Here is a 13,093-nt window from a genome sequence, read left to right on the forward strand (position 1 = left end):
TCTGTTTGTTAGTTTTCCTTCTAACAGAGAGGACCCTCAGCTGCAGGTCTGTTGGAATACCCTGCTGTGTGAGGTGTCAGTGTGCCCCTGCTGGGGGGTGCCTCCCATTTAGGCTGCTCGGGGGTCAGGGGTCAGGGACCCACTTGAGGCAGTCTGCCCGTTCTCAGATCTCCAGCTGCGTGCTGGGAGAACCACTGCTCTCTTCAAAGCTGTCAGACAGGGACATTTAAGTCTGCAGAGGTTATTGCTGTCTTTTTGTTTGTCTGTGCCCTGCCCCCAGAGGTGGAGCCTACAGAGGCAGGCAGGCCTCCTTGAGCTGTGGTGGGCTCCACCTAGTTCGAGCTTCCCAGCTGCTTTGTTTACCTAAGCAAGCCTGGGCAATGGCGGGCGCCACTCCCCCAGCCTCGCTGCCGCCTTGCAGTTTGATCTCAGACTGCTGTGCTAGCAATCAGTGAGACTCCGTGGGCGTAGGACCCTCCGAGCCAGGTGCGGGATGTAATCTTGTGGTGCGCCGTTTTTTAAGCCGGTCCGAAAAGCACAATATTCGGATGGGAGTGACCCGATTTTCCAGGTGCGTCCGTCACCCCTTTCTTTGACTCGGAAAGGGAACTCCCTGACGCCTTGCGCTTCCCAAGTGAGGCAATGCCTCGCCCTGTTTCGGCTCGCACACGGTGCGCGCACCCACTGACCTGCGCCCACTGTCTGGCACTCCCTAGTGAGATGAACCCGGTACCTCAGATGGAAATGCAGAAATCACCCGTCTTCTGCATCACTCATGCTGGGAGCTGTAGACCGGAGCTGTTCCTATCCGGCCATCTTTTTTCCGAATTCCTTAAATTTGTTTATTGTATAACAAAATACTCTTACTCTACCTAAAACTAAGAAGGCTATATATATATATATATATGTATATATATATATATATAGCCAAAGTATTTTTATACAACATCTATATATATATGTTGTCCTCTTAGTTTTAGGTAAAGAGTATTTTGTTATAATATATATATACGTATATATGTATATATGTGTATATATGTATATATGTATATATGTGTATATATGTATATATGTGTATGTGTATATATGTGTATAAGTATATATATGTATATATGTATATATATATTGCCCTCAGTGCATATATATGTGTGTGTGTGTATATATATATATATTTTTTTTTTCTTTCCAACTTTTATTTTAGGTGCAGTGGCTATATGTGCAGGTTTGTTACATGGGTAAATTGCATGTCAAGGGGGTTTAATGTACAGATTATTTTGTGAGCAAGGTAATGAACATAGTATCTGATAGTTTTTTCAATCTTCACCCTCCCCCTAGCCTCCACCCTGAAGTAGGCCCTGGTGTCTATAGTTCCCTTCTTTGTGTCCATGTGTATTCAATATTTAACCTCCACTTACAGGTGAGAAGATGCAGTATTCTGTTTTCTGCTCTTGTGTTAATTTGCGTAGGATAATGGCTTCAAGCTCCATCCACGTTGCTGCAAAAGTCATGATTTTGTTCTTTTTTATGGCTGCATATATTTCCACAGTGCATATGTACGACATTTTCTTTATCCAATCCACCACTGATGGGTATCTATGTTGATTCCATGTCTTTGCTATTGTGAATAGTGCTGCAATGAACATACATGTGTATGTGTCTTCATGGCAAAACTATTTATATTCCTTTGAGTATATACCCGGTAGTGGGATTGCTAGGTCAAACGGTATTTCTATTTTAAGTTCTTCAAGAAATCTCTAAACTGCTTTCTACAGTAGCTGAACTAATATCATTCCACAAGTAGTGTATAAGCATTCCTTGTGATTCACAACCTTGCCAGCATGTTATTTTTTGAACATATGTATTTTGAGATGCTTTGCCAACTCTTTTCCATGGAATAGTTTAAAAATGTGGTAAATTTAACCCTATTTTGTATATTATAAATATTTAACTTTTTGTAATTTTTAAAAACTTTTTTCTTTTAATTCTTCTTGACTTCATTTTTTTCAGTAAAAATGGATAAGTGGTTTATTCTACTTAATGAAATAGGTGACAATAAAGAAAACGTCAAATTTGTTAGTTGATTATAGCCACAGTATTTTTATACAACATATATTAAGCCCCCTGCATACTAAAAACATTATCTCTTCTAATAATGATAATTTTATGGGGTGGGTACTATTACTGATATTGTCTATTAGGAAACCAAAACTCAGAGGGACTAACTAATTGACACAGTAATTTGCTCACAAACCTGTGTTAGTCTGTTTGTGTCGCTATAAAGGAATACGTAAGGCTGGATAATTTATAAAGCAAAAAGATTTATTTGGCTCATGGTTCTGCAGTTCTGTACAAGAAACATCACAGCAGCATCTACTTCTGGTGAGAGCCTCTGGCTTCCACTCATGGTGGGAGGCAAAGAGGAACCATTGTGTCATATGAGGAGTGGAACAAGCCATTCATGAAGGATCTGCTTCCATGACCCAAACTCCTCCTAATAGGCCCCACCTCCTACACTGGGGATCAATTTTCAACCTGAGATTGGGAGGAAACAGATATCCAAACTATACTAACATCCTGGTTATCCTAAGACTGGCTGTCTTTTTACCACACTAAATGTTGGGGGAATCTCAAGAGTCTCTCAAACTTTAGGACCTTGGCCTGTATTCTAGACCAGTATTCTGGGATAGCCTACTGGGCCACATGTCCTCTTATCTCATCTCGGATAAGCCCCACCCAGGATTGTCCTATTTTCCTCTCTTCAAAACTAATGCTACCCACACTGCATCTTAGAGTACTTTCCCTCAAGATTGGCTGCTGAGAGGGATTTTTCCTAAGTTCTCACTTCATTGCTGCCATCTAAGAAAGACACATAGACCTCTTTCATTTGAAAAGTTTAATTATTAGTCTTCATGTGTTAATAGAAAATTATAACATTAATGCTGTCCTTTATTCAGCAAACATGTATATAATGACTATCTGGGGACAATTACAGTGGATAGAGCTTCTAGTCCAGAAAAAAATGGAATATGAATTACATAAATAGTACATTACAAAGCACACACACACATAGTTTACAATGGGAACACTTAAGAGAGATAAAAATAAATATTGAACAGTTAGAAAATTGCAAAATTTGTATAGTTTTTATTGTTCCTGAAGCTACATAGTATAATTCTGAAGTATATAGTTCCTGAGGACCTTTCTTATATGATAGACATTGTCGTTTCTTCAATGTCATGCTTCGAAGTGCACTATGTCTTTAAATCACAAGACATATTCCCGCACAATCAAAGCAATTAGAAATGAAGAATATGATTTCCTTTGATTCAAAAGGCCTTTTAGAAGAGATATTCTTCTTTTTTCACTTCTTTGTGAAAGCAGTTATTCAAACTGCACAGGAACTTCGTGAACTTTGAATACCAGGTTTGTTGTCCAGATGCATATAGACAGGAAGTACACAATAGCCTAAATCAGGGAGTGCTGGATAAACTTTTCTTAAGATGCAGGCCCAGAAAACGCTAACAGCCTTAAATTGTGGTGAAGAATATGTGGTTGGTGATGGGGACTGGAGCTGGGGGTTACTTTCTCCCTAGTATCTTGGGGCATTCTTGAAATGGGAATGGTATTCATGATTCAGAGCTAAGTAAATTAGGGCCCTTTTTTCTAACCATTACAACCTAAATTGGGAAGAAATTTGGTTAAAATAAATACTTCGGTCTTATTTGGGGGAAAGAGTTACAAGATGTTAACATTGAGTGTAACATAGAAGGAACAATCTCACCTCTTTACCTTGTAGATGGTGAAAGTTTGGAATTTGGAAACTGCAAACCAAAGAAATAGCTATAGGTGTTTTCTTTCCAGGCATCTATTTACAGTCATCTTCTTCTTTCCCACTGTACTCCCCCGTGTCCAGCTGTCGGTAATCAGAAGCCATGACCAGCAACACAGTGTGTTATTTCTGAGACAAGTCATTAAAGAGCAAATTGTCTTAGAACAAATTGATAAATAGATTCACCAAAACATAAAATTTTGGAAATACCATCAAGTTGTTTGATGTTAAGATATTAACCTCATTTCAGAGCCAGGTTTTTTTTTTTCCAAAGGATACACATAAAAAGGAAAATATTTTTACTTTATCCTTCATTGCTTTCTAAGAAGAATTTAGACAGTAACCTTCAAGGGAACCCAATAGCAAGGAAGCCAGCTATATATGGTGAATAATTAAATGCTGTGTGTGTGTGCTTTACCCTCACACAGAACACAAGTTGTCCAATTTGGAGAATTTTTTTATTATTATAGTAAAAAAATTTAACATTAAATTTATCATTATTACCATTTTTACATATACTGTTCAGTAACTGTATTAATATATTAAGTATATTCACATTGTTTAGCAACAGATCTCTAGAACTTTTTCATACAACACTGAAACTCTATACTCATTAAATACTAATTCCCCCTTCCCCTTTCTCCACAGCTCTTGGTAACCACCTTTCTAATATCTGTTTCTATGATTGTGACTACTTTAGATATTTCATATGAGTAGAATCCTACAGTATTTGCTTTTTTTGTGACTGGCTTATTTCACATAGCACATTGTCTTCAGAGGCTCATCCATGTTGTAGCATGTAACAAGATTTGCTTCTTTTTTAAAGCTACACAATATTCCATCATATGTATATTTTCTTTATCTGTATTTTCTTTATACATTGATCTGTCAATGAACACTTGGGTTGCTTCCTCTTGGCTATTATAAATAGTACTTAGATGAACATGGACTTGCAAATTTCTCATTGGGATCCTGCTTTGAATTCTTTTGTATATATACCCAGAAGAACGATGCTGAATCATATACTAATCCTATGTTTAATTTTTTGAGGAATCTCCAAACTATTTTTGATAAGGGTTACATGTTTTACATTCCCACCAAAACAAGGGTTGCAAATCTTCTACATCCTTTCCTATTTTGTGATTGATAGTAGTCATCCTGTGGGTGTGAGGGGATATCACAGTGTGGGTTTGATTTGCATTTTTTAATGATTAGTGATGTTGAATATCTTTTCATGTGTTTATTGTCCATTTGTATATCATCTCTTTGAAGAAATATCTATTTAAGTGCTTTGCCCATTTTTTAATTAGGTTATTTGGGTTTTTTGTTGTTGTTGTTTAGTTGTAAAAATTTCTGGATATTAATACTTTATCAAATATATAATTTGCAATTGTTTTCTCCCATTCTGTTGGTTTCCTTTCTTTTTTTTTTTTTTTTGATGTGCAGATGTTTTGAAGTTTGATGTAGTCTTATTTGTTTATTTTTTTTTTTTTCCTGTGCTTTTGGTTTAATATCCAAGAAATCATTGCCACATCGAATTTCCTGAAATTCTTAATCTATATTTTATTTTAGGAGTTTAATAGTTTTGGGTTTTTTCATTTTGAGTTAATTTTTATATGGTGTATGCTAAGAGTCCAACTTCATTGTTCTATATCTGGATATCCAGTTTTCCCAGCATCATTTGTTGAAGAAACTGTTCTTTTGCCATTGCATAGTCTTGGCACCTTTGTCAAGAATCATTTGGCCATATATGCCTAATTGTGAGGATTTAAATACATTATATTTTAAACAATTTTGAATCAAACAGAAATAAAGAGAAACTAATCATATTCTAGCATGAGGATTTTATTTCTGTATAGCCATGTCACCCCATTAGAAGAGAATATTTTTCATAGGTGAGTAGTGACAGATAGAAGGGATACTTGCTTGCTGAAAGTTTGGAGGTTAATTGACTAATTAGAATGATGATTTCAAGGGTCTAAGAAGAAAAGAGGAGGACCTGGAATAAGTCCGTGACATGAAGTTTAAAGCAGGAGACAGAGGCAGAATGCAGAGGAAGACATGACTGAACATGGCAACTGAAAAGATAAGGAGAGTTAGCACATAGGATTTCGAGTTGGATTTTTACCTGGAAGAATTCAAGGTTTTATTTCCACAGTTTTAAATCCTTTTATGTTTAAGATGCAAAGTCCTTAATGAGCTATTTTTCCGATCCATATTCCCAAGTCCCTAGAAGGACGTCTCACTATCATTCAGAGTCTCATGTCTGCAAGGCTGGCTCTTTAATACTCAGTATGGTCTCTATTTTGAAATACTTAGCAATGTGACTCAAAGAACAAACCACAGTCATCTGTATCCAGGCAACAGCATTGATAAACACTGCAAATTTCTTTTCTACCTTATAGCTTGAGCTACATAATGTGGACTAAAAAGAATATTGTATTCTATTCAGTGTTTCTAGAAATTAACAACTATAAACATAGGCACTCAAATATGCTCCTACCTTAAAAAAGAAGGAAGCACAGCTACAGTACAGAATCACTGTCATCTTAAATTTCTGACATTCTAGATGTCATCTCAAATGTAAACAGTCTGCATTTTTTTTTTTAACATTCTAAAGATATTTGTACATGCTTGTTTGATTGTATTGTAAGAGACCTAAGTATAAATTGAGTCAACCAATAAACCGCAGGGCTACTGCCTGACAATTTAAATTAGCTCCTTTCACACTCCTTAGGGTCTGCCTGTCAGAGAGTTATCTGAGTTCCATATACAACAGTAGCCCAAGCCCATACCTTGATCACAGTAATTATCTGTTTTTATTTATTTTCCCCTTGTCCGGTTTATTTCAGGCCTGGTTATTTTTCCATTCCAAGAGCCTATGCACCCATGTTCAATTACCTGGTTTCTCTCTAGCACTTGAGACTAACTCTAGTTGCCAGATCAGGTAAACAGAAAATTCAAGCTAAGCCTGCTCAGTAGATGTAATCAACTAGTAGTTCCATGTAGGAACCACAAATGGACATGTTTTTTGATGATAGACTGAGTTTTTAAGTGGGAAGACTGGTATTAAATAAATTCTATTTGGACAAATAGGTGAATGACAATTGTAATAGACACGTGAATCAGTCAAATAATTTTTAGCATAATTGCAATTATGAATTTTGAGAGTTAGCCTTAACTCTAAAATTACTAATTGTTAAAGTTTTACATTCCTGAGTCAAGTAAATTAAGTAGTTGAATTTTTGGGGGGAAAATTTTGTGCATTTTTCTGAAAAGGAAAAGAGTTCGCTTTATAGTCATTATTGTTCTATTTTACAAAAATAATAATATGTCAATGTGTTACAATAATAATTAGTCACACATCCCAGGAACTTAAAATGAGTGTCAAGAAAAGTGAGATAAAATAGTGACTATCTGTTAAGAATGATTTAAGTGACATTAAAGGAAAAGCCTTCTTCTCCAAAGTAATCATGAAGTGAGGACTCTGCAAAATTGAGTTCCCCCAATGACTGGACTATAGTTGAGCACTTCAATGTAAAGTTTCGGCTAGGGTGATCTGAAATGGTTGTGCTGTTAAGGACATAACAGCTAAGTCAATTTAAAAAGAACTTTAAATGACTACTTCACTAGATAGCAAGGTATAGAATGCTGTCAATGTACATCACTTGAGTAATTAGCAAACTGTATCTCTTTTGAGACAGCAATTTATTTAACTTTCCTCATTTTGTGCCTTTAACTTACCCACAGGATGTTGTTTGAATATACCGTCAGTAATCAAAAAGTGTATGCAAGTATATATCTCTCTACCAGGTCTGAAGACATGTTATTTGCTTGGTCAGTTGGCCTTAATAAAGACAGCTGCTATCAGTTTTTCCTAATATAAAACCCAGCGTCGTCCTCTAAATTCACTCTAATGATCAGTTAGTTTCAGATGATGATATGGATGGATGGATGGATGGATAGATAGATAGATAGATAGATAGATAGATAGATAGATAGATATAGATAGATAGAAAGATAGATAGATGATAGATAACATACACATGAAATACACTAGAATCAGGAGTAAGAGAAATTCAGTGCTGAAGGGCAAAAATGGAGCTTGACTGAGTAATCTTGGACGTTTTGAGGCTACAGCACAATAACTTCTACCCAATGATTTACTCTACTTTCTATGCTGTGGTTTAATAATGACATTTTTGAACTGAATTTATTTTCTTTAAAACTCTTTCTTGAATATATTACAAGACTTCTTTAGACTGTATATAAAGTAGAAGTTACTTTTCAGAGGAACTTTTTTTTTTTTTACAGCACTGTTGTTATATAAACACAAAGCTATTTGACTAAAGAGTGCATCTATAACTGGAATTACAGTGGGGATACAATTTAGTTAATGTAGAAATAATTGTCTGATACCGTGGTTCTCTACATGCTACACATTGAATGATGATTATTTTATGAGTAAGTGAATTCTGTATGGATGTAAAGATTCATTTGAATGTAACTGGAGTAATTTGAATGTAACTGCAATTACTTTTGCACCAACCTCATAACAAGAGTATTATGTTCTTATTCTTTCATTCACTCTCTCTCTCTCTCACACGCACATATCCTTTTTCCTTCAAGAGTTTTTCTATCTAATGTACAGTAATGCTTCCATAATATTGTTTTCAGAGTTCATGCCAATAGTCTGTCTTTATAGACCAAAACATTTGTAAGAGAATCTTTCAGAAGTTTAAACTAATGACTCTGTCTTATACCAAAGTTCATGTGATAGCAAATAGAGTTAAAAGAATTCCTGCCATGCTTCTATTTTGTATTTTATTATCCTCTAATTTATATGAATATTGAGTATTTGCAAATACTTCTATCTAAGAAGATACCATAAAAATTTCCTTAAATTATTATGCAAATTCAAAGAGAATGGGTATGACCAGAAAAATTTGTTTATTTGAACTGTATTTTTTACAACTTTAGTCTTAAGGAAAGTTAACATTTTCAGGATTCCACAAACACAGACACACACACACAATGAGTTAGAGCTGCAGTTTTATTTCTTAGAATTTTTGATCTTGTAGGAAAAGAATAACTAAGCACTTTCATTTCTTCAAATTTTTCAAAATTATTCAGGAGAATTTGTCTTCATCTATTCTTTTCTACAATGATCCTAGAGAATTTCTTATCCATATATTCAGTTTGGTTATGGATTTATTTGCTAACCTGATAGGTAGTGTTATCATGGTTTTGTTTTCATAAATGTAATCGATGTCCTAGCTTATTTTATAAAGAGATATATTTCAAATTGAATAAAATAGTTGTTATCACAATCATTGACCCATTATGTTGAATTTCTATAAGTCTCCAATAAGAGAGAATGAATTTTTAAAAATTAGTTCTATAAACTTGTTGAAATTGGAAATTATATCCCTTAATATAATCAATTTATATCTAATAGGACTCTAAATATTTTCTACATAATATAAAATAGTCCATAAGATGGAGTATTTTATGAAACACTTTCTAAATTTTCATTTATATTAAATGCAAAAATATATTAGAGAATAGATGTTTGTTTTACAAGTTATAATAAACACACTAACTAACTATAAAAGCTATCAGGTCAGCTAAATGAGTGAATATGTTTAAGATATTGCTAAGTAATATGTTTGACTCTCCCTTCTACAACTTTCATATGTAAAACAGTTACTCAGATCTTAATGCCACAATATTTTTTCTATCCATCATCTTTTTTTCAATTGCCTTTGCCATTCTGTCAGTTCAGATCCTTAAACTCTCTCCCCTACCTCCGTTTTCTCTCCCCCTCATTTTCAGATTCACCTCATTTTCCTACTCATTTTCAGATTTACTACAAAGCAGAGCTTTGAGCATTCCAGAAATATATGTCTGAACTTTTCAAAAACCTTCAATTATTCTACACCATTTCCTAATTAATTGAGTAGCTCCCCTCAGTTTGGCATTTAAAGTAGTCCTAAATGTGGCCTCAAGTCATCTCTGACACAGTAATTCTTTCTTAATCATTGATCATCATTGATAAAAATGTACATATTCATATATATGCAGAGTTCTATATAATTTCATGGAGTTTACAAAATCTTTCTCTACAAGTCTTACAGAAATACCCGCCTGCTCTACACATGTCCATCCTGCCATTCTGCCACACATACATACCTAACATTCCAACCACATTTGACGACAAGCAACTTGAGGACAGACATGGTGTTTTCTGCAAGATACACGTTCACATGAACCCTATGATACTATCCAAATGTCTCCACTGAGTAGCTTGGCCCCTGGAATGTCTTCCCTGAGGTTTTCAGAATGTTTGCCTTCCCTTTATCTGTCCCTGTTATCTGTTACCTGGATAAGTTGGGAGGCATTTGGGGAAGATAAATGTCATTTTTCAGATTTCAGCCACTACTAACTATTCTTGCTAAAGTAAATTCTTTTGTTATAGTGGAAAATAATTTTTACTAATGAACTTGGACTGTCCCTACCTTGATTAATACAGGCTTCATTTGTGTTTAAATTTGATGTCTATTTGATTCACGTCAGCTCAAAACGTGTTTTCTAAATTTATATTTTTCAGGTTTCTTGAGTACAGGCGATCAGGCTGCAAAGGGGAACTATGGACTCCTTGATCTCATACAAGCTTTAAGATGGACTAGTGAAAACATTGGATTCTTTGGTGGTGACCCCTTAAGAATCACTGTTTTTGGATCTGGTGCTGGGGGTTCATGTGTCAACCTGCTGACTTTATCCCATTATTCTGAAGGTAACCGTTGGAGCAATTCAACCAAAGGTATTATGCAAGGTTGCAAATTTTGACAATTTTGGTGTCTGCATGCCACCACCATCAGTAGTATGTGATGCTCTGTATATTTCTCTGTTCAAACTGAGTGTTAGGTTGAACTCAATAGTTTAAAGCTTTGTTTCTTCAGTTTTTCTGTGCATGTTTAAATTTTCGTCAAACTCTTTTCTTTGTCTCCTGTGGAGCTTGGTAAGGATGCCCTTTCAAGCACACTTCAGAATAGTTAGCATTACAGTTACTCTTCTTTCCTTTAAAGGGTGATTTGAAGAAAAAATCAGACAAAGACGTTCTACAGTTTTGTCATCTTTGTTTATTCAGTGATCAAAATCAAAGATGAGACTTTTTACATGCAGGGATTGTATATAATCTATTTTCAAGACAATAGACATTTTAAACCCTTTATTAGTATGAAGCTAACGAAGCGGTCATAAGCTAGTTTGTCTGAAAACATGTGATTTCACTTGTTGTCTGAGTACAGAATGGATTGTTGATTATTTCGCATGCATGATCCAAAATTGTCAAAGCATCAAGGTCACTGGTAGAGCTTTTGATTAAAAAGAAAAATACATTTGATTCAGTGTTTTTTCTATTTTTAACTCCAAAAGCATTATTTTTCCCCCTAAACTTGGCAAGGCAGCATGGAGTATTGAGGCTGCTGAAATCCATGAAATATTTTTCTCGTTTCCATTTTCTGGCTTTGACATATTTTTTCCCAAGTGCCTGTCTGTCCAAGGCTTACCATGTTGTTCTTTATGAACTCCATCTCCATTTTACCATGCATAGAATCACCCATTCCAACTGCATTATTAATTTGAAATTTCACAAGAACAGAAGAGTATTGTTGGAGAAATTTGCAAAGCAAATACTTTTTCTGCATTATTTATGTATGATAGGAAGACAGATAATATATAAAAACGTACACCATCTTTCTTTTAATTTCTGATCTTTTATTGTCATTTTATATCCAAGAAAAAAGTATACACTGTCAAGTATAATTCATGAAGTGTTTTAATTTGTAAGGTTGAGTTTTGTGATAGGAGCACCAAACATATGGTATTTGTTTTCAGTATCAAAAACACATGAATGTTGAATTTCAAAAGAACAGCCAGTCATTAAATGAATCCATGTATTTGGAGAATCATATATAGACTCAATTTATTAACATAGTTTACATAACATTTCATTTATATTAGTAAAATTCTGATTCAAGGTGACAAAATAACACAGATGAACATTTCCAAGAGAGATTTCATCTGTAAAGAAATGGCTTCTTTTGAAATAATAAACTTAGTGTTTCTTTAATTAAACAGATTAGATTGTTCTAATCTCAGTATTTTTACTAATGCCACTATGTAGCTAAAGCAACACTAAGCCACCTCTATAGGTTTCTCAGGGTCGCTTGCTCAAAAATTGACGTGAAAGCCACCTTTAGCTAGTATCAAACGGGCATTGGTTTAAGAGATGAGTCAGTTAGTTCATCAGCTAACACTGCCAGTCATCAACTGATGGCATGGTAAACAGTAGGAAATGGTTATGCAAACAGTTGAAAATACAACATTTTATTATACACTTCAGGGAAATCTGTCTATCCCTGGAAAAAGACATCAACTTAGGTTTGGCCTAAACCTGTCTCCAAACTAAGCTGCCTGATTTTACCAGGAGATGCTGAAAAAAATCTCTTGAAATCATCAAGCTGATTCTGCCTCCAATGGAGCTATAAACTTTAAAGGCAATAAATCCCACAATGCTCAGGCCTGGATATACCATGAGTCAACCCCATCTTGCATCCACATAAGAGGCAATTTCACTAATATGATAAAACAAACATACATTTTTCCCATATTTTAGGAATCTAGGTGGCATATTTTAGGACATATTGGACATGATGTGCCTTTCCTTCTCAATCTTTTTCGGTATATTTAGTTAATGTTGAGTCCCTGAGATGGGAAATAATATTATAGAAATCACCAGGTGCATTTTAGTTACACAATTTTTATTTATTAAAATATTTTCCTGAGCAAATGTTGATAAACAGCTACATAATTTTAAAAATTATCTGTATTTGTATCATTTGCTCTAGCATACTTTGTTCTAGTAAACTAAAAAATACTTATAAAGATGTCAGAAAACCAAAACAAATGTATATTAATACTGTTAGATTTTTTTAATATCTTCAGAATTATATAGGAACATGTTACAGACATGTTGAATATATAGGCATATTAGGTTAAGAAAAATCTAAAACTTTCCTTCTAATTCAGACAGTGCTTCAACACCTTTGTGAAAAGAGTTTTTATCTCATTAATACATATGAATAATTAAGCATGTTTTTAAATAACTGAAGCACAAAGCTGTATTTGGAAATTGATAAAATTGATAATAAATTTAAATATGTAAAAGAAAATAAACTATATTTTTAAAACAGGAATTTT

At 34.4% G+C, this 13,093-nt stretch overlaps 1 protein-coding gene across 36 annotated transcripts in view, besides 2 other annotated features; it reads left to right on the forward strand.

Annotated features, from left to right (window-relative positions):
• NLGN1 (neuroligin 1) overlaps nt 1–13,093 on the forward strand; it is an 898,421-nt gene that overhangs the window by 868,924 nt on the left and 16,404 nt on the right. For 24 of the 36 annotated variants that reach the window (XM_017005893.2, NM_001365924.2, NM_001365923.2 and 21 more), the window contains one exon: nt 10,440–10,652. In XM_017005893.2, coding sequence (XP_016861382.1) covers nt 10,440–10,652 — 213 coding nt within the window. The remainder of the gene's footprint in view (nt 1–10,439; nt 10,653–13,093) is intronic. The other 12 variants (XM_047447706.1, NM_001365936.2, XM_047447712.1 and 9 more) reach the window with 1 other exon arrangement.
• Nucleotides 45–584: an enhancer, noted in NCBI's record as "H3K4me1 hESC enhancer chr3:173982710-173983249 (GRCh37/hg19 assembly coordinates)". NCBI's record gives its function as "activates a minimal SCP1, AML or CMV promoter by ChIP-STARR-seq in naive and primed H9 embryonic stem cells {active_cell/tissue: H9 hESC(naive and primed)}" and the evidence as "EXISTENCE:reporter gene assay evidence [ECO:0000049][PMID:30033119]".
• Nucleotides 585–1,123: an enhancer, noted in NCBI's record as "H3K4me1 hESC enhancer chr3:173983250-173983788 (GRCh37/hg19 assembly coordinates)". NCBI's record gives its function as "activates a minimal SCP1, AML or CMV promoter by ChIP-STARR-seq in primed H9 embryonic stem cells {active_cell/tissue: H9 hESC(primed)}" and the evidence as "EXISTENCE:reporter gene assay evidence [ECO:0000049][PMID:30033119]".

This window comes from Homo sapiens, chromosome 3, assembly GCF_000001405.40.
Source record: "Homo sapiens chromosome 3, GRCh38.p14 Primary Assembly".
Taxonomy (NCBI): Eukaryota; Metazoa; Chordata; class Mammalia; order Primates; family Hominidae; genus Homo; species Homo sapiens.